The sequence below is a fragment of the Homo sapiens genome, chromosome X (assembly GCF_000001405.40).
Source record: "Homo sapiens chromosome X, GRCh38.p14 Primary Assembly".
Classification (NCBI taxonomy): domain Eukaryota; kingdom Metazoa; phylum Chordata; class Mammalia; order Primates; family Hominidae; genus Homo; species Homo sapiens.
In genome coordinates this window covers 48,400,527-48,422,482 of record NC_000023.11, presented here as the reverse complement: position 1 = coordinate 48,422,482, position 21,956 = coordinate 48,400,527, and the positions used below count along the sequence as shown (strand labels likewise).

The window sequence follows — 21,956 nt, the reverse complement described above, 5'->3', positions numbered from 1 at the left end:
ATGGCTCAAACCTGGGAGGCAGAGGTTGCAGTGAGCCGAGAGCCTGCCACTGCATTCCAGCCTGGGTGACAAAGTGAGACTCAGTCTTGGAATAAAAAAAAAAAAAAAAAGGTATAGACCATTGCCATCACCACAATGCCATCCCTTGTGCTACTCATTTTTAGTAATACTCACTCTCCTCCTATCCACCATCCCTAACCCCTGACAACCACTAATCTATTTTTCATTTCTACAATTTTATCTTTTCTACAATGCTGTACAAATGAAATCTCATAGTATATAACATTTTAGAGGCTTGTTTCACTCAGCATAATTCCCTGGAGATTCATCCAAGATATTAATATTTGTGTATCAATAGTTCATATTTTTGTTGTTGTTGTTGTTGAGATGGAGTCTCACTATGTCGCCCAGGCTGGAGCGCAGTGGCGTGGTTTTGGCTCACTGCAACCTCTGCCTCCCGGGTTTAAGCGATTCTCGTGCCTCAGCCTCCCAAGTAGCTGGGACTACAGGTGCACGCCACCATGCCCAGTTGATTTTTGTATTATTAGTAGAGACAGGGTTTCACCATATTAGCCAGGCTGGTCTCGAACTCCTGACCTCATGATCTACTTGCCTCCTGACCTCATGATCTGCCTGCCTCGGCTTCCCAAAATACCGGGATTACAAGTGTGAGCCACCGTGCACGGCCAATGGTTCATTTTTATTACTGAGTAGTATTACATGGTATGGATGTACCACAGTTTCACCATTCACCTATTGTTGGACATATTGATTATATCCGGCTATTTGGCTATTACAAATAAAGCTGCTATGAACAATTATGTACAAGTTTCTGGATGGGGATAAATTTTAATTTCTATGAAGTGGTAATTGATGAATTGTATGGTCACTGCATGTTTAGTTTTATAAGAAACTACCAAACTGCTTTCCAGAGTGGCTGTAAGATTTTACCCTCTCAGCAGCATTTTACTAGATGTCCAGTTTCTGTGCATCCTTTCCAGCATTTCGTATTGTCACTATGTCTTTCATTTTAGCTGTTGTAATAAGTGTGTAGTGATGCCTCATCGTGGTCTTAATTTGCATCTAGTGAAGCAAGTAAGTGTTGAACAGCCTTTCATGTGCTTATTTGCTTATTTCCTCTTCAGTGAAATGTATGTTCATATATCTTCATAATTTTCTAATTGAATTATTTGTTTGTTTGTTTTTACCGTTGTTTTGTTTTTGAGACAGAGTCTCGCTCTGCTACCGAGGCTGGAATGCAGTGGCATGATCTTGGCTCACTCCAACCTCTGCCTCCTAGGTTCAAGCGATTCTCATGCCTCAGCCTCCCGCGTAGCTGGGATTACAGGTGCGAACCATCATGCCTGTCTAATTTTTGAATGTTTAGTAGAGATGGGTTTTGCCATGTTGCCCAGGCTGGTCTCGAACTCCTGGCCTCAAGGGATCTACCCTCCGTCCACCTCGACCTCCCAAAGTGCTGGGATTACAAGCGTGAGCCACCACGCCTGGCATACCGTTGAGTTTTGAGAGTACTATACGTATCCGTTATATATTCTGGATGTGAGTCCTTTCTTGGATACGTGGTTTGCAAACATTTTCTCCCACTTTACACCCTGTTTTTTCATCCTTTTAACACGGTTTCTACAGAGCAAAAGTTAAATTGGATGAAATCTAATTTATTTTTTTCCTTATGGATTATGCTTTTTGAACCGTTCACTATGCCTAGATCTCAGACGTTTCTCCTACTCTTTCTTGTAAAAGTTTTTTTAGTGTTATATTTTAGATTTAAATCTATGAGCCACTTGAGTTTTTAATATATGTATATATATATGTATATATATATGTGTATATATATGTATATATATGTGTATATATATGTGTATATATATGTATATATATATGTGTATATATATGTATATATATATGTATATATATATGAAGATTAGGTGTTTTCTTGTTGTTGTTTGTTTGTTTGTTGTTGTTGTTGTTGTTGTTGTTTTGTCTATGGATATGCAACTGCTCCAGCACCATTTGTTAAGCAGACGATCCTTCTTTTTGTCTCTTGGGGAAAATCAGTGTGGGGCAATTTCCAGGTTCTCTGTTTTGTTCCAGTGATCTATGTGTCTATTCTTCTCCCAATACTACACAGTCTTGATTCCTGTAGCTATATAAGAAGTATTGAAATATGGTAGAGCCATTCCTCCCACCTTATTCTTCTTTTTCAAAAATTGTCTTAGTTACATATACATTTTTTGAGAAGGAGTCTCACTTTTGTCGCCCAAGCTGGAGGGCAGTGGGGTGATCTCGGCTCACTGCTGTCTCTGCCTCCCGTGTTCAAGCGATTCTCCTGTCTCAGCTTCCCAAGTAGCTGGAATTTCAGGTACCCGTCACCACACCCAGCTAATTTTTGTATTTTTAGTAGAGACGGTGTTTCTCCATGTTAGCCAGGCTGGTCTCAAACTCCTGACCTCAAGCGATCCACCCATCTCGGCCTCCCAAAGTGTCTTTGTTCAGTTCAGAAAATTCTAGAACATTATTTCTTCAAGTACTGCCTTCTCCCCAGTCTTAATATTCTTTTTTTTATTTTTTTCACTTTTGTGACGTAGTTTTGCTCTGTCACCCAGGGTGTAGTGCAGTGGCAAGACCTCAGCTCACTGCAACCTCCGCTTCCCAGGTTCAACTGATTCTCCTGCCTCAGCTTCCCAAGTAGCTGGGATTTCAGACGCCCGCCACCACACCGGGCTAATTTTTGTATTTTTAGTAGACACAGGGTTTTGCCATGTTGGACAGGCTGGTCTCGAACTCCTGACCTCAGGTGATCTGCCTGCCTCAGCCTCCCAGAGTGCTGGGATTACAGGCGTAAGCCACTGCGCCCGGCCCAGTCTTTCTATTCTGTATGTCTGGAACTTCTACTAGATGAACGGTGAAACTTCTGGGATCTATTCTCCATTTCCTTTATTATTTTACTTTCATACTTTCTATTTCGTAATCGTTTTCTACTATACAGTGAAGTAGTGCCGTGCCTGAAGTTTTTCATTGGGTTGTTCCAATTTCTCTTATGATATGCAAAAGCTTTGTCGTATATTAGAGATGGTTACTTTTACTGCGGATGCTTCACCATTTTCTCCAAAATTTGCCTCTTTACACAGTTGTTTATGGTGTCTTTTGACTTAGATGATACTTTAATTTTTACATCTTTAAGTATGTCAGATTCATTGTTCATAGCCTTGGTGTAATGTCAGGAAGTGCCTATGCCAACTCAAAATGTCTTACACTGTAATATTTTCCTAAATTTTCGTCTAGTTCTTTATGACTTCACGTTTTCACATTTAAGTCAGTGAATTTTTAGAATTTATTATTTTATGTGGTTTAAAGTAAGTATTTTAATATTTATTTTTTCAAATGGATAGACACTTGTCAAGCAATCGTTTATTATACAACCCATCTTTTGCCCAGTGTTTGGAAATGCATGCTGAATTTTGCACATAACTTAGTCTGTTTCTTGACTTTCTATTTTTTTTTTCACTAATCTGTTTCTATATGTATTCATTTTTTATTGTTGCTGTAACAAATTGTCAATAGCTAAGACAACGCTGGGCTGGGCACGGTGGCTCACGCCTGTAATCCCAGCACTTTGGGAGGCCGAGACGGGCGGATCGCTTGAAGTCAGGAGTTCGAGACCAACCTTGCCAACATGGCGAAACCCCGTCTCTACTAAAAATACAAAAATTAGCCGGGTGTGGAGGTGCACGCCTGTAATGCCAGCTATTCGGGAAGCTGAGACAGGAGAATCCCTTGAACCCGGGAGGCAGAGTTTGCAGTGAGCCGAGATCACCCCACTGCCCTCCAGCTTGGGTGACACGAGTGAGACTCCATATCAAAAAAAAATTATATAGCTAAGACAATTTTTGAAAAAGAAGAATAAGGTAGGAGGAATGGCTCTACCATATTTCAATACTTCTTATATAGCTACAGGAATCAAGACTGTGTAGTATTGGCAGAAGAATAGACACATAGATCACTGGAGCAAAATAGAGAACCTAGAAATAGCCACACACTGATTTTTTACAAAGAGACAGAAAGAAGGAAGGATCGTCTGCTTAACAAATGGTGCTGGAGCAGTTGCATATCCATAGGCAAAAAAAAAAAAAAAAAAAAATAAGACCTAATCTTCATAACTTTATACAAAAAAGTAACTCAAATGGATCATATATTTAAATCTGAAATATAAAACTAAAAAAAAAAGCTTTTACAAGAAAACATAGGAGAAACGTCTGAGATCTAGGGCATGGTGAACAGTTCAAAAAGCATAATCCATAAGGAAAAAAAGTAAATTAGATTTCATCCAATTTAAAACTTTTGCTCTGCAAGAAACCCTGTTAAAAGGATGAAAAAACAAAGTATGGACTGGGAGAAAATGTTTGCAAACCACATATCCAAGAAAGGACTCACATCCAGAATATATAATGGATATGTATAGTACTCTCAAAACTCAACCGTAGGCCGGGTGTGGTGGCTCAGTCGTGTAATCCCAGCACTTTGAAAGGTCGAGGTGGATGGAAGGCAGATCCCTTGAGGCCAGGAGTTTGAGACCAGCCTGGGCAACATGGCAAAAACCCATGTCTACTAAAAATACAAAAATTAGACAGGCATGTTGATGCATGCCTGTAATCCCAGCTACGCGGGAGGCTGAGGCACAAGAATCGCTTGAACCTGGAAGGCAGAGGTTGGAGTGAGCCAAGATCATGCCACTGCACTCCAGCCTGGGTAACAGAGAGAGACTCTGCCTTAAATAATAATAATAATAATAATAATAATAATAATAATAATAACTCAAAGGTAAAAAAAAACCAAATAATCCAATTAGAAAATTATGAAAAGATATGAGCATACATTTCACTGAAGAGGAAATAAGCAAATAAGCACATGAAAAGATGTTCAACACTCATTTGCTTCACTAGATGCAGAATAACACCACGATGAGGTATCACTACACACTTATTACAATAGCTAAAATAAAAGACATAGTGACAACACCAAATGGTGACAAGGATGCAGAGAAAATGGACACCTCATTAAGTGCTGCTGGGAAGGTAAAAGCAGTTTGGTAGTTTCTTATAAAACTAAACATGCAGTGACCATACAATTCAACAATTACACTTCAGAGAAGTTAAAATGTATGCCCATCCAGAAACTTGTACACAATTGTTCATAGCAGCTTTACTTGTAATAGCCAAAAGCTGGAAATAATCAATATGTCCTGCAATAAGCGAATGGTTGAACTGTGGTACATCCATACCATGGAATACTACTCCGTAATAAAAATGAACAATTGGCCGGGCGCAGTGGCTCACGCATGTAATCCCAACACTTTGGGAGGCCGAGGCGGGCGGATCACGAGGTCAGGAGATCGAGACCATCCTGGCTGACACGGTGAAACCCCATCTCTACTAAAAAATACCAAAAATTAGCCGGGAGTGGTGGCGGGCGCCTGTAGTCCCAGCTACTCAGAAGGCTGAGGCAGGAGAATGGCATGAACCCAGGAGGCGGAGCTTGCAGTGAGCAGTGATTGCGCCACTGCACTCCAGCCTGGGCGACAGAGTGAGACTCTGTCTCAAAAAAAAAAAAAAAAAAAAGAATTACCCGGTCGTGGTGGCACGCGCCTGTAGTCACAGCTACTCGGGAGGCTGAGGCAGTAAAATCTCTTGAACCTGGGAGGCAGAGGTTGCAGTGAGCCGGGATCGCACCACTGCACTCCAGCCTGGGCAGCAGAGTGAGACTCCGTCTCAACAACAAAAACAACAATGAACTACTGATACAAAAATATTAATATATTGGATGAATCTCCATGGAATTATGCTGAGTGAAATAAGCCTGTAAAATGTTATATACTATAAGATTTCATTTGTACAGCATTGTAGAAAAGACAAAATTGTAGAAATGAAAAAGATTAGTAGTTGCCAGGGGTTAGGGATGGTGGACGGGAGGAGAGTGGGTATTACTAAAAATGAGTAGCACAAGGGATAGCACTTTGGTGATGGAAATGTCCTGTACCTTTTTTTTTTCTTTCTTTCTTTTTTTTTTTTTTTTTCCCGAGAGGGATTTTCACTCTGTCACCTAGGCTGGAGTGCAGTGACACGATCTCAGCTCACTGCAACCTCTGTCTTCCTGGTTCAAGCTATTCTCCTGTCTCTGCCTCCCATGTAGCTGGGATTACAGGTGCGTGCCACCATGCCTGGTAAGTTTTGTATTTTTAGTAGAGACGGGGTTTCTCCTTGTTAGCCAGGCTGGTCTCAAACTCCTGACCTGAAGTGATCCACCCACCTCGGGCTCCCAAAGTGCTGGGATTACAGGCGTGAACCACCGCACCTGGCCATGATCTGTATCTTATTTTTTTCTGAAATATAAGCTTTATTTAAAATTTAAAAAATTATTAAAAATAAACATTCTTTGGCCAGGCGCAGTGGTGGCTCATGCCTGTAATCCCAGCACTTTGGGAGCCCGAGGCGGGTGGATCACGAGGCCAGGAGATCGAGACCACGGTGAAACCCCGTCTCTGCTAAAAATAAATAAAAAAATAAAAATAAAAATAAAAAATAAACAAACATTTTTCTACAAATTTTAATCAAGCACTCAAAGCAATTCAGGAATGTTAAACACTAATTCTTAATTGAAAATAATGACATCCATAGAATACATCCTGGTGTTAGCCAACATGAAGTTTACTTAATATTAGTATTTTATATATGCTTAACCATTCATCCTTCCTAAAATTCAATGATAACAATGATTTGACTTTATAAGGTGAAGCCATTTATGTAATACCCCAGAGATAACATTTTCAAATACAAAACATTTATACTAGCATGGAAATTATAAAAACATATATAAATTATACTGAAGGATGTGATTTAAAGGCTGTCAATACACATAGATGCATTTTACCTTAGAAAGTACACATGCACATCAAAACATTCATTGAATATAGATGCCATTAAATTCTCTTACTTACGTTACAAAGCAACGGGCAGGTTCATAAACGTTGTTCTAGTATGTATCAACTGCAAAAAACATATATTCCACGAAAAGGTTTTGAAGACACATGGGAGTGGAATGTGCCCACATTTAGAGCAGAGCTTTTACAGGACCACCTGTCTCCAGCCGGCTCCCAGGGACCACTGAAAACGGCTGCTACACTCAGAACGACAAGATGGTCTTGTTAATGATAACAATTGACCCTGGAATCTCATCCTCCTTGACCACCAGCAGAGGTGAAACCTGATGATGTCGCCATGGGTTGGCTTGGCCAGAAGTCCATTATCTCGAAGTCTTAGACACACACTTTCCAAGCAGCACAATCTTTGGTTTCTTTAATAACAATAGCATTTAATAATTCTTTTCCACACCGGGTGTGGTGGCTCACACCTGTAATCCCAACACTTTGGGGGGCCAAGGTGGGTGGATCACCTGAGGTCAGCAGTTCGAGACCGGCCTGGCCAACGTGGTGAAACCCCGTCTCTACTAAAAATACAAAAGTTAGCTGGGCATAGTGGTGCGTGCCTGTAATCCCAGCTACTCGGGAGGCTGAGGCAGGAGAATCACTTGAACCCAGGAGGCAGAGGTTGCAGTGAGCCAAGATCGCACCATTGCAATCCAGCCTGGGCAACCAGAGTGAACCTGTGACTTAAGCAAATAAATACATAAATAAAATAATTATTTTCTTCTTACAACAGTTACAACATCAGAAGGTAGCTTCATGGGTTCATTTCTCAGGAGAATACCCATTGTTTCTGCATTTTCAGCAAGGTTTTCTTCTTCTAAAACTTCAAGGGCTGCGATGGCCACTTGGCAGCCTAGTGGATTGCCACCGTATGTGGACCCACGTTCCCCTGGCTTAATGGTCAGCATTATGTTATCATTCCACAGCACCGCAGACACAGAGTATCAGCCCCCAGAAAGGGCCTTTCCAAGGAGGACTATATCAGGTCTGACATTTTCATGATCAACAGCCAGCCATCTACCAGTTCTGGCCACTCCTGTCTGTATTTCATCAACAATAAACAGAACCAAGCTGGGAGCACGAGATGGGACGAGGGTAAGTTAAAATACCACAAAGCTTACTGTTCTTACGGAGACTCAGCTGGTTCTTTTCTTTCTTTCTTTCTTTCTTTCTTTCTTTCTTTCTTTCTTTCTTTCTTTCTTTCTTTCCTTCCTTCCTTCCTTCCTTCCTTCTTTCCTTCCTTCCTTCCTCCCTCCCTCCCTTCTTCCCTTCCCTTCCTTCTTCCCTTTCCTTCCCTTCCTTCTTCTCTTCCCTTCTTCCCTTCCCATCTTCCCTTCCTGTCTTCCCTTCCCATCTTCCCTTCCCTTTCTTCCCTTCCTTCTTCCCTTCCGTTCTCCCTTCCCTTCCTTTTCCTTCTCCTTTCGCTTCCCTTCTCCCTTCCCTTCCCTTCCCTTCCCTTCCCTTCCTTTCCCTTCCCTTCCCTTCCCTTCCCTTCCCTTCCCTTCTCCTTTCCCTTCCCTTCCCTTCCCTTCCCTTCCCTTCCCTTCTCCTTTCCCTTCCCTTCTCCCTTCCCTTCTCCCATCCCTTCTCCCTTCCCTTCCTTTTCTTTTCGACAGTTTTTCTCTGTCACCCAGGCTGGAGTGCAGTGGTGGGATCTCAGCTCAATGCAACCTCCCCTTCCCGGGTTCAAATCATTGAGTGAACCCAGGAGGTTGAGACCAGCCTGGGAAACATAGCAAAAGGCAGGGTGGTGCAGGCCTGCAGTCCCGAGGCCGAGGCAGGAGGATCACTTGAACCCAGGAGGTAGAGACCAGCCTGGACAACATAGCGAAACTGTCTCTACTAGAAAAATTAAAGATATTAGTGGGGGCTGGGTGGTGTGTGCCAGTGGTCCCGAGGCCGAGGCAGGAGGATTGCTTGAGCCCAGGAGGTCAAGGCCAGCCTGGCCAACATAGTGAAACCCCATTTCTACTAATAAGAAGAACAACCAAAAATAGCATGGGCGGGGTGGCTCACCCCTGTAGTTCCCAGGCTGAGGTGGGAGGATTGCTTGAGCCCAGAAGGTCGATACCAGCCTGGTCAACATAGCGAAAGCCTGTCTCTCCTAAAAAAAATTATCAGGGCAGAATGGCACACGCCTATGGTCCCGAGGCTGAGGTGGAAGCATTGCTTGAGCCCAGGAGGTTGAGGCCAGTCTGTGCAACATAGCAAAACCCGGTTTCTACTGAAAAACAAAAAAAATACCGTGGGCAGGGTGGTGCATGCCTGTGGTCCCCAGGCTGAGGAGGTGGGAGGATCCCTTGAGCCCTGGAGGTTGAGGCCAGCCTGGCCTACATAGAGAAACCCAGTTTCAACTAAAAAATAATAATAATAATAACAAAAACAAACCTGGGCAGGGTGGTGCATGCCTGTAGTCCCGAGAATGAGATGGGAGGATTGACCAAGGCGGATGTAACCAATACCACAATCACATCCCATAAGTAAATACATTTTCCTCTCTCCAGGGCTACAGGTAAAGGATGGTAATTGTGCGCACCACACTTACATTCCCTTCCAAAAATGCGGCACTATTCACAATAGCAAAGACTTGGAACCAACCCAAATGTCCAACAATGATAGACTGGATTAAGAAAATGTGGCACATATACACCATGGAATACTATGCAGCCATAAAAATTGATGAGTTCATGTCCTTTGTAGGGACATGGATGAAATTGGAAATCATCATTCTCAGTAAACTATCGCAAGAACAAAAAACCAAACACCGCATATTCTCACTCATAGGTGGGAATTGAACAATGAGATCACATGGACACAGGAAGGGGAACATCACACTCTGGGGACTGTTGTGGGGTGGGGGGAGGGGGGAGGGATAGCATTGGGAGATATACCCAATGCTAGATGACGAGTTAGTGGGTGCAGCGCACCAGCGTGGCACATGTATACATATGTAACTAACCTGCACAATGTGCACATGTACCCTAAAACTTAAAGTATAATAATAAAAGAAAAAAAAAAGAAAACTACAAAAAAAAAAAAAAAAGAAAAAAAAATAAGAATAAAAGAGGTTGGAGGGCCTTGGACTGTTTTTTTAGTTCCAACAGATGTAGAAGCCACTGAAGAATGAACTCCACGACTAAGTACAGCAAACCTCCGCAAATGTGCTAGTTTGGAAAACATTGTGTCTTTCAAATAGAAAAATCACAGATCGACTATTTTTTCTTCCCACGGTTCAGACTAGAATCCAGATGTTTAACCCAAGATCCAGGGACGGTCTTCAGAGAGTTCAAAATCTCCTGATGGCGCCTGAGGACCACCCACTTTGTCGCACAAAGTGTGGCTGGAGGAGGCGACAACATTCTGCAATGTCACTGCCCAAGGATGATGGACCAATCAGGGCAGTTAGTGAACTCCATCTGGCCAATTAGAAGTCAGAACAGTAGGCGGAACAAGCGAAGCTGATGTGGCGTCTGTCAGTCCAGGCTCTAGGGACAGAACCTTCCCAAGGCGGGGGGGAGGGGAGACTCTGATTTTCCCGCCGAAAGCGTCCCCTTGGATTGGCTACTTTAAATTCAGAGTACGCACACGCCGATTTGCCCTTTTGATTCTTCCACAATCAGGGTAAGCATGCGCTGATTTTCTCTTTCCATTCTTCCTACCCCTCCCCTCCGCCGTGGTGCACTTCTTATCTAATTTTAATAATGTATTTATGTGAGGCAGGTCGCCATCTCAAATTCTTCCTGTCAGTTTCTAACTTTTTCAGGTATGGGATTTTTCCTAGGAGCTCTGTAGTAACTTAAAAAATCTGGGCTGGGCGTGGTGGCTCACGCTTGTAATCCCAGCACTTTGGAGGCCCACAGGTGGTGGATCGCTTGAACCCGGGAGGCGGAGGTTGCAGTGAGCCACGATCGCGCCACTGCAACACAGCCTGGGCAACAGAGCGAGACCCTGTCTCAAAAAAAAAAAAAAAAAAAAACTCCTGGGCTCAAGCGATCCTCTCGCCTCGGCCCCGGGACTACAGGCGTGCACCACCCCGCCCAGAGCACCAAAGGTCCTGAGGCTGGAAAGACTCAGGCTGTTTCTCTCGCAGGTGAGACTGCTCCCAGTGCCATGAACGGAGACGACGCCTTTGCAAGGAGACCCAGGGATGATGCTCAAATATCAGAGAAGTTACGAAAGGTGAGGTGACCTGGAGGGGGCAGAGTAGTGGCCCAGGGGACAGTGTGGGGTGACCAGGTTTCTGAGGAGGGGAGGACAGAGGTACTAGGGACAAGGAGCAGGGTCTCGGGGGAGATTTGGACCCTTGGGAGCCTCCCACCCTCGCTCTGTCATCACCTAGCATCCCTGGAGACAAGTCTCTGACCTTGCACTTCATTTGGTGACTCCCACTCCATTCTGGAAGGTGGGAAGAGAGCCAGCCAGCAGCATTAAAGCCCTACTGTGTGGCAGGGGCGAAGCTAGGGAAGTTCCCTCATGTTCTGTCAGTTAGCCATGGCATCAACCAGGACAGACTATCATCCCCACTTCTCAGATCCCACACACAGGAAGCGGCTCCAGCTGAATGGCAGACATGCCTAGCTGAGTCCCTGCCATAATTCCTTTTTTTTTTTTTTTCCAGGCCTTCGATGATATTGCCAAATACTTCTCTAAGAAAGAGTGGGAAAAGATGAAATCCTCGGAGAAAATCGTCTATGTGTATATGAAGCTAAACTATGAGGTCATGACTAAACTAGGTAACAGAAAGTTCTAGAAGCAGACAAGTCTGGGGACACATGAGCATCCCTTTTCCTGTTTTGGCTACTTCTTAGGCTGCAGAAAGTACCCCACATTTTCCTTTTGTGCAGGGAAAAATCACAAGGCAGCTTCTGGGTGTTCTCCTCTTCTGTATCCTGTCAGGGCTGAGGGCAGGGACTGGCCACAGTGGAGCTCATACCTGGATCCTGCACGTTTCTCTCCCATAGGCGTCTTTTCTGATGAGCCCAACTGTCTCTGTGGCATCCCGGCACCCCCACACCCAACACGCACACCCTCCCTTCCTTCTCTTGGCTTGTCTCTCTCTCTCTCTCTCTCTTTTTTTTTTTTTAAGTCAGAGTCTCACTCTGTCACCTAGGGAAGAGTGCAGTAGTGCAAGCATAGCTCACTGCAGCCTCGAACTCCTGGGCTCTAGCAATCCTCCTGCCCAGCCTATGGAGTAGCTGAGGCTACAGGCACGTGCCACTATGCCCAACTAATTTTATTTTATATTTTGTAGATATGTGGGTCTCTCTATGTTGCCCAGGCTAGTGTTGAGCGCCTCACCTCAAGCAATCCTCCAGCCTCAGCCTCCCAAAGGGCTGGTACTACAGACATGAGCCACCGTGCCAGGCCCAAGCTTGCCTCTTAAGAAATAAACATTTTGCTCCTTTCTAGGTTTCAAGGTCACCCTCCCACCTTTCATGCGTAGTAAACGGGCTGCAGACTTCCACGGGAATGATTTTGGTAACGATCGAAACCACAGGAATCAGGGTGAGTAGACTGGAAGGGGCTGGAAAGGGTCTCCTCAAGCCCAGTTGCTTTTCAGCTCAGCTACCTGGGAAAGATCCTCAGGCATTTGTTCCCTCATACACATCGGGGCTGAGTGAAAAAAAAAAATTGCATGCAGAAAGTTAACTACAGAGGCCAATCACATAAAATTCTAAAACATGCAAAACAAGAAAATATATTTTTATGGATAATAAGTAAATGGTAAATGTATACAAACATGAATGTGAATAAAACGCCATCAAATTAAGGTGACTGGCTGTAAGTGGAGGAGGGAGGGAGGGCAGGGATTGCTGAGTGCGGCACAGACAGCTTCAGCTGTGACTTGCTGATAGTGTGTTTTGTGTTTTTTGTTATTGTTATTTTTTTTTGAGACAGAATTTCACTCTTGTCACCCAGCCTGGAGTGCAATAGCAAAATCTGAGCTCACTGCAACTTGCACCTCCCAGGTTCAAGCGATTCTCCTGCCTCAGCCTCCCGAGTAGCTGGGATTACAGGCGCTCGCCTCCACACCCAGGTAATTTTTGTATTTTTGGTAGAGACGGGGTTTCACCATGTTGGCCAGTCTGGCCTCAAACTACCTGACCTCAGGTGATCCACTCGCCTCAGCCTCCCAAAATGCTGGGATTACAGGCGTGAGCTACCACTCCTGGACTGTTTATACTATTGCTAATATTCTGAATAAATAAATCAGATCTAAGATAACTGTGGGGTAATGTTGAGACCCGACTGTACTCAGTTTTGTTCCCCATACTTTTCTGTGTTTTTGAAATATTTCTTTTTTAAATGACATGTTGTTCTTCCTAAGCACTGTTAATGAATCAAAGGACATTTAAGAAAATGTGAAAAGTGAAAAAATAAAAAAAAAGAAAATGTTAAAACTGTAGATCCGCCAAAAACTTCCAGAGTTTGTTTCATTAACAGCATGTAGGTATTGGATAAGTATCTTAGGAGTGAGGGTGATGAACACATTATGTAATAAGCGTCGCTGTTTCTCTGTATTTTATCAAAACCAAATAGTCCTCACATTCCCCAACAACCCCAATTCTCCGTGATGAGCTTGGAAGAGAGTTTGAAAGAGTGATCCCTCATCCAGCACACAGAGAGCTTTCCCACTTCTCAGTGAGCAGAGATAACATAGGGTGAAAAAAAGACAAGTTTCGCGTAGAGATCTTTGTGCATTTCAGGAATATAAAGGGGACATATGTGTTTACTTGCTCTTCTGCTCTGAGAACACAGTTACAAGACAAGGTCAGAATGTCCAGACTGTCTCCCATAGACCTATTACTTCCCAACTAAACAGGCCAGATTCTACGATCTCCCACAGTCACTATAAGAGGTCTGAAAATCCAGTGCTTGAGTATCTGCCAAGTTTTTGACATTAAATGAGTGCCAAATATTTATACTGAAAATATTTCAGAGCCACTGGACTAAATCATCGATGGTTCATCACACAGTTAACAGCTTAATTGACATACCATAAGATTCACCCATTTGAAGTGTACAGTGATTTTTAGTTGTTGCACATCTTGAGTGATTACAGTTTAGATTCCCAACCAATCAATTTAACTATTTGGGAAAAAGTAAAAGATATGTAATGGAAAAAGATGAGACTGTGATGGGGTTTAATACCCATGTGATAAACCACGAGATGGAAAATTCTGAATTGATGCCACAGATAAATGCACCAACCATGACTAAACATAATTCAGAAGCAAATCTCAAATAACTCCTCAACAATGAGTGGACTCACAACCTCTGCTGCAGAATGCCCTCATGCGACAGAAGTCTCTCTAGAGTTTGGAAATCTTTACCAACAAAGAAAAATTCTGATGTATTCTCTTTCAGTTGAACGTCCTCAGATGACTTTCGGCAGCCTCCAGAGAATCTTCCCGAAGGTGAGTGTCTCTCAAATCTAAAGGACCAGAGAACGTTTGTCCCTGCACGGATGCGAACACTGATAAGAGTGGGAGAATATCAAACATGCCCTCACTGCCTCCTTCTCCCCATGTCTATCACAACAACTTATGTGGCACCGACGGCTTGCTAATATTAACAGTTGTGATCCTTAATACTTCTTTGGTTTTCATAGTGATGCCAGATTACTATTTTAAGCAGTTCACATGGGTTAATTTATTTAATCCTTAAGAAGACCTCTATGACGATGTTTCTATTACTATCTCCAAATACTATCGAGCCACACACTTCAATTGTCACCCATATAAAAGACATGTAACTTGGTGCAAATCTTCTAAGTTCTCTGAGATCCAGACTCCTGGTCCATGAAATGGAAGTAAAGAATCATAGTTCATGTTTTAGATCGTAGTTATCAGCAACATAATAATAAAATGAGGCTATCGGGGTACAGAGATGTTAAAGAATTTTCCTGAGGCACAGTGGCAGTGGTAGTCTAATCCAGAGCTCCAAGCCATTTAAAGCTCATTCACGTTTGCATTTGTTTATGAAGTTCAGATGTTGCTCACTAGGGCTTCACCCCATAGGGCCTCCTGGTGCTTCCATTGAGACACCCACTCTCGCAACAGGAAGGACCAGCTGGCCTCTGCTCTGTTACCGGGGCCACTCACATGGCTTAGGAATCGCTTTGACTGTTGGCCCCTCCCTACTGTGAGCTCCTTGATGGCCTTGTGTGCACCTGGGGCATCCGGGAAGCCCCCGTCCCAGCCCAGGGGATCCCTCGAAGGCCCCTGAATGAGTGATCCCACAACTGCAGATCCAACTCTGGTTTGGAGGGTAAAGGGATCTGGGAGTTGGGTTGCCAGTGTGGAGACCAAATTCAAAGAAGGATCATGAAAAGTATTAGTTTTTTATTATTACTACATTTAAAGAGTGTTTACAAGCTCAGAGAGCACTTTCTTGTAGCCTATTTTACATGTACTGTTGACTATTTCGTAAGTGAGGAAGCTGAATAAAAAGTAGCTTAAGGGCTGGGCGCAGTGTCTCACGACTGTAATCCCAGCACTTTGGGAGGCTGAGGTGGGTGGATCACGAGGTGAAGAGATGGAGACCATCCTGCCCAACATGGTGAAACTTTGTCTCTACTAAAAATAGAAAACTTAACGGTGCGTGTTAGAGCCTACCTGTAGTCCCAGCTACTCTGGAGGCTGAGGCAGGAGAATGGTTGAACCTGGGAGATGGAGGTTACAGTGAGCTGAGATCGCGCCACTGCACTCAAGCCTGGCAACAGAGCAAGACTCCGTGTCAAAAAAAAAAAAAAAAAAGGAAAAAGAAGTAGCTTAAGGTCGTTGGTCAGTGACACATCCCAATGCAACCAGAGTTGGTATGGGTACCACCTCACTTAATTCCACATTCAATGTTGGCGCCTCGGTAGGGTAGTATGCCATGTCTGGTACTGCTTTCTTTGCTGCCTAGTTTAATTTCAGCAAACCATTTCTTTACCTCTCCTGTCCCTGTATTCATCTCCCCACACCATCTTTCCCAGCAGTGTTTTATCGCCTCTCTATGTTTTTACATTTACTCTCCCAGCAGCTGTCTACAAGCTTATATGGGATCCCTTGTATTTTATAGAAGCTCTTTCTTTTCTAGACCTTGTGAATTCTTAGAATGCTATTCTCCAAATCTTCTGTATACCAAACTCTCAATTAAATGGAGATTTTTGCTGTTTGCAAGAATGTGAGTCTTAAAAGAGTGTGAAGATAAGCATTCTAGCCCTGGAAAGCCCATTCGTTTAGGCCATTCCTTTCCCTTCTAACCTCCCAGGTTTCTCCTAATTTAGGCCTGTGTAACTCTCCCAGTCTTGTTGAGAGCATTGAATAAGCTAATGCACGTGAAGACCCTTTGTAAGCTCTAAAGCACTGTAGAAATGTCACTGATACTGTTTATCTGCGACCTTCACATTGTAAAGATCATGCCCAAGAAGCCAGCAGAGGAAGAAAATGGTTTGAAGGAAGTGCCAGAGGCATCTGGCCCACAAAATGATGGGAAACAGCTGTGCCCCCCGGGAAATCCAAGTACCTTGGAGAAGATTAACAAGACATCTGGTAAGAGGAAAGAATTCGGGAACAACCCCTCTGGCTTCCCTGGCTGTGTTCAGGTGCGTGGACTGGGTGTGTGGCATGGACCCCAGACAAGCCAGGGTCCAGGCTGGGCTGAGGAGCTCGCCTAGCTCCAGATGAGATGTTAGACATGACTTCCAGAGACACAGACTGGAGTTGTCATCCATATAAAAAAAACCACGTGACGTGGGGAAAGTCTTCCAAATTTCCTCAGCTCCAGGTTCCTAGTCCATAAGATGGAAATAAAGAATCATAGTTCATAAATTGTTTGGAGACATTAAATGTAATCTAGAAGGCCTGATGACATGAAAGGTGCTCAAGCAATTCTATCTGTGATAACCTGGGATCATATCTTACTCAGCTCAATGCCTGTTACCCAATACAGGTGTGCTTCAGAGATATTGCAGGTTCGGTTCCAGACCACTGCAATAAAGTGAGTCACACACATTTTTTTTTTGTCTTGCAGTGCATAAAAACATTACATTTACATTATACTGCAGTCTACTAAGTGTGCAATAGCATTAAGTCTGAAAATGCACATACCTTTATTTTAAAATAATTCATCGATAAAAAATGCTAACAATCTTCTGAGCCTTCAGTGAGTCACACTCTTTTTGCTGGTGGAGGGTCTTGCCTCGGTGTTGATGGCTGCTGGCTGATCAAGGTGGTGGTTGCTGAAGATTGGAGTGGCTGTGGCAGTTTCTTAAAAGATGACAACAATGAAATTTGCCACATCAATTAGCTCTCCCTTTCATGAAGGATTTCTCTGTAGTATGTGATGCTATTGGATAGCATTTTACCCACAGTAGAACTTCTTTCAAAGTTGGAGTCAATCCTCTCTAGCTATGAAAGTCCTAGATGGCATCTCCTTCCAATAGAAGGCTATTTTATCTACATTGAAAATCTGTTGTTTCGTGTAGCCACCTTCGTCAGTGACCTTAGCCAGATCTTCTGGATAACTTGCTGCAGCTTCTCCATCAGGGTTTGCTGCTTCGCCTTGCACTTTTATGTTATAGAGACGGCTTCTTTCCTTAAACCTCACGAACCAACCTCTACTAGCTTCACACGTTTCTCCTGCAGCTTCTTCAGCTCTCTCAGCATTCATGGACTTGAAGAGAGTTCTGGTCTTGCTCTGAATTAGACTTTGGCTTAAGGGAATGTTGTGGCTGGTTTCACGTTTTATCCTGACCACTCAAACTTTCTCTATTTGAGCAGTAAGGCAGTTTTGCTTTCTTATTCGTGTGTTCACTGGAGTATTAGTATTATTATTTCCTTCAAGAACTTTTCCTTTGCATTATGTACTATTATTTCCTTCATGAACTTTTCCTTTGCATTCACAGCTTGGCTGTTTGGTGGAAGAGGCCGAGCTTTCAGCCTATCTTGGCTTTCAGCATGCTTCCTCACTAAGCTTAGCCATTTCTAGCTTCTGATTTAAAGTGAGAGACATGCGACTCTTCCTTTCATTTGAACACTTAGCGGCCATTGTAGGGTTCTTAATCGTCCTAATTTCAGTGTTGCTGTGTCTCAGGAAATAGGGAGGCCCAAGAAAAGGAGGAGAGATGGGGAAGAGCTCATCGGTGGAGCAGTCAGAACACACACAACATTAATCGATTAAGTTTGTCATCTTCTATGGGTGCAGTTCATGGTACCCCAAAAACAATTACATACAACAGGATGATTATAGTCAATAATAACTTAATCGTACATTTAAAAAAACTAAAAGAGTGTAAATGAATTGTTTGTAACACAAGGATAAATGTTTGAGGGGATGGATACCCTATTTTCCATGATGTGATTATTACGCATTGCATGCGTGTATCAAAACGTCTCGCGTACCCCATAAGTATATACACCTACTGTGTACCCACTAACATAAAAAACAAAAATTATTTTAAAAGACTAAAGAGCAACAAAACAATTGCAATAATAATGTCAAAGCTCACTAATGACAGATCACTATAACAGATATACTAATAACGGAAAAGTATAAAATTGGTGAGAATTCCCCCCAAAAAATTGCAGTATCTGTGAAGCACTATAAAAATGAGGTACAATAATACAAGGTATGCCTGTGTGCCCTTAACAAATACATGCTGAATGAAAGGAGGTATCGGTGAATGTTCCCGTAAGTGAAGAGGTTGGGAATTTAACCTGACAACGGAAGGAGCCAGAAGCTAAAATTTTAATTTGCATTTGGCCTGTATTGGTGTGGATCTAAGGTCTCAGCCTCTCTAAACCAGGGAATGTGAAAAACTGGATAAAGAAGGTCCGGGGCACTTGGGAGGGGAGAGGCATCTCCTTCTTTTGAGAAAACAGAGCCTAACGCTCTCCAATCTACCCAACCCTCATTTTCCAACTCTTCCCCATCATAGGACCCAAAAGGGGGAAACATGCCTGGACCCACAGACTGCGTGAGAGAAAGCAGCTGGTGGTTTATGAAGAGATCAGCGACCCTGAGGAAGATGACGAGTAACTCCGTAAGTGAACTTTCGGACCACCCTCCACATCCTTGCAGATGTACTATTCTGTTATGGTACTGGTATCCCATCTTATCACTTGTTCCCCAAATCATTCCCTTCTCATAATTTTCTAGGGTACAGCATTGAGGCTGAATGATGAGATTTCCCATGCTCTTTCTTTCTATTTTTTTTCCTTTTTGAGAGGGAGTCTTGCTCTGTCGCCCACGCGGGAGTGTAGTGGCGCGATCTTGGCTCACTGCAACTTGTGCCTCTCAGGTTCAAGCAATTCTCCTGCCTCAGCCTCCTGAGTAGCTGGGATTACAGGTGCACACCACCACACCAGGGTAATTTTTGCATTTTTAGTAGAGACGGGGTTTCACCATGTTGGTCAGGCTGGACTTGAACTCCTGACCTCGTGATCCACCTGCCTCGGCCTCCCAAAGTGCTGGGTTTACAGGCATGAGCCACCATGCCCGGCCAATTTCCCATACTCTTTCTACTCCCTGCCCTGTATATCCAAGGTTGCTCCCTACCCAGGATGCTGTGGGTTCCCAAACCCCAGGTCAGCCCTGATATGCGGGCCACACCTTCCTCTAGCCTAGGAATTGAAAACCCAGGCGAAGAAGTCACTGTGGCATGAACAGATGGTTCACTTCGAGGAACCGTGGAAGGCGTGTGCAGGTCCTGAGGTAGGGCAGAATCAGAGTGTGCAGGGTCTGCAGGTCAGGAGGAGTTGAGATTGAGTTGTCACGTGGTGGGAACTCACTGCCACTTACTTTCCTTCTCTCTTCTTGCCTCAGCCTCGGGGATATGACACATGCCCATGATGAGAAGCAGAACGTGGTGACCTTTCACGAACATGGGCATGGCTGCGGACCCCTCGTCATCAGGTGCATAGCAAGTGAAAGCAAGTGTTCACAACAGTGAAAAGTTGAGCGTCATTTTTCTTAGTGTGCCAAGAGTTCGATGTTGGCGTTTCCGCTGTATTTTCTTGCAGTGTGCCATTCTGTTAGACATTAGCGTTTTCGTTGATGAGCAAGACATGCTTAATGCATATTTCGGCTTGTGTATCCATGCACCTACCTCAGAAAACAAGTATTGTCAGGTATTCTCTCCATAGAACAGCACTACCCTCCTCTCTCCCCAGATGTGACTACTGAGGGGAGGTCTGAGTGTTTAATTTCCGATTTTTTCCTCTGCATTTACACACACACCACACACGCACACACACACACCAAGTACCAGTATAAGCATCTCCCATCTGCTTTTCTCCATTGCCATGCGACCTGGTCAAGCCCCCCTCACTCTGTTTCCTGTTCAGCATGTACTCCCCTCATCCGATTCCGTTGTATCAGTCACTGACAGTTAATAAACCTTTGCAAACGTTCCCCAGTTGTTTGCATCTCTCATTATTGTGCACACAGCTCTGTGCACGTGTGTGAATATTTCTTTAGGAAAGATTCTTAGAAGTGGAATTGATGTGTCAAAGGAGTCATTTATTCAACAAAAAACTAATGAGTGTGTACTAGTGCTGAGAACTGTTCGAGGTGCTGGAGAGACATCAGGGAACAAGGCAGACAGATGTTCCTGACCACCATTCTAGAGGAAGATATTTCCAGTCGTTGGTATTGTTTGTTTGTTTGTTTCTTCTAGAGATGGGGTCTTGCTCTGTCCAGGCTAGAGTGCAGTGGCACGATCATAGCTTAATGCAGCCCTGAACTTGTGGGCTCAAGGGATCCTCCCACCTCAGCCTCCAGAGAAGCTGTGACTACAGCCACGCACCATCATGACCCACTGATTTTTTTAGGTTTTGTCAAGAAAGTCTCGCTATATTACCCAGGCTGGTCTCCAACTCCTGGGCCCAAGCAATCCTCCCACCTTGGCCTCCTAAAGTGCTGGGATTACAGGAGTGGGCCACTGCGCCTGGCCTCCAGTTTTTATTTTGATAGAGACTATACACTTCAGTCCTGGAGCAGGATTCTGCAGCAGGTGGTTGGGCATCTGGGCCTTTGCTCTCTGAATGATTTTCAAGTTCAAGGGCTGGGACGGTCCATTTGGGAGTATGTGGAAGGAGACACAGATGAAATCGTCATCTGGGGAACGTGGAGGAATGAGGAAGATGCGTGCACTGTAGACCGTGATGGACAGGGAATAGAAGAGTCCACTCAGTCTCCATGCAGGGGAGCAACGGTGGGAAAGTCCCCTGGACAGAAGCATGAGACTGCCCATCAAGGGTCTCACCAACCAAGGGCCTGGGGGCTGGGGTGGGGACGATGATTTCGGAAGGGGCCAGTTCTTTCTCACATGTACCATTGCACAGTGTGGAGGGGAAACAGGTCTGCGGAAGGGGAGCGCAGATGGGAGTCTATTTTCGAACCAACCATTGTGTGTGAATGGAGACATCAAGTCCTCCCGGTTCTCCCCAGCCTTGGAAGGAGGACACTATCATCTTTATGCCTATATGTTAGATGAGAGACGGAGTCCCAGCCAGATGGCAGGCGTCTTGTCTGAGGTCCCACAGCTGGCAGGTGCAGGAGGGGCTGAGTTTGGAGCTCACTGACTTCAGAAACATTAAGGAGGACAGGTGTGTGTGGTGGAGGGAGGGGGAATTGAACAAGCCCCGGGCTCTGTCCCCAGTCACAAGGTAGAGGCTGTGGGTTCGTTTTCCAAGACAAGGAGCCCTAGGAGAGAGAGAGTGCGGGGAGGGAGAGGCAGTCGTGATCACAGCAGGGACAGTGGGAGACAGAGATATGCAGGGTGGGCAGAAGAGGGGCAGGCAAAGAAGCAGGGGAGACCCAAGGCCAAGTGGGGGCTGCCACAGCCACCAGAGGGAGAGGGTGCCTGGAAGGAGGTTGTGGGGCTCCAGGAGCAGTAGAGGTTCCCCAGATCTGTGAGCATGCCCTGCCTGGCACTGCAGGAAGAGGTGGCTGCCACCCAGGTCAG

At 44.4% G+C, this 21,956-nt stretch overlaps 1 protein-coding gene and 1 pseudogene across 3 annotated transcripts; one reads left to right on the top strand and one right to left on the bottom strand.

Annotated features, from left to right (window-relative positions):
* LOC791095 (ornithine aminotransferase pseudogene) lies at window positions 6,399-10,210 on the bottom strand (annotated as a pseudogene).
* Window positions 10,523-20,401, top strand: SSX4B (SSX family member 4B). 3 transcript variants are annotated; one of them, NM_001034832.5, is made up of 8 exons: window positions 10,523-10,621; window positions 11,091-11,179; window positions 11,619-11,733; window positions 12,410-12,505; window positions 14,369-14,418; window positions 16,404-16,539; window positions 18,927-19,031; window positions 19,814-20,401. In NM_001034832.5, the coding sequence occupies exons 2-7, from the start codon at window positions 11,111-11,113 to the stop codon at window positions 19,025-19,027; spliced, it is 567 nt and encodes a 188-aa protein (NP_001030004.1). In that variant the 5' UTR covers window positions 10,523-10,621; window positions 11,091-11,110; the 3' UTR covers window positions 19,028-19,031; window positions 19,814-20,401. The 3 variants fall into 3 exon arrangements, with proteins under 3 accessions (NP_001030004.1, NP_001035702.1, XP_016885102.1); NM_001040612.4 differs by lacking the exon at window positions 16,404-16,539; XM_017029613.2 differs by lacking the exons at window positions 10,523-10,621; window positions 19,814-20,401 and adding an exon at window positions 10,667-10,763 and having other exon boundaries at window positions 18,927-19,027.
* The last annotated feature ends 1,555 nt before the right edge of the window (window positions 20,402-21,956 follow it).

Excerpts from the sequence above, each read along its gene's own strand:
- SSX4B (NM_001034832.5), top strand. The coding sequence starts at position 11,111 with ATGAACGGAGACGACGCCTTTGCAAGGAGACCCAGGGATGATGCTCAA. Across the intron at positions 11,180-11,618 it reads TATCAGAGAAGTTACGAAAG|GCCTTCGATGATATTGCCAA; the intron begins GTGAGGTGACCT and ends TTTTTTTTCCAG. Across the intron at positions 16,540-18,926 it reads GAAGATTAACAAGACATCTG|GACCCAAAAGGGGGAAACAT; the intron begins GTAAGAGGAAAG and ends TCCCCATCATAG.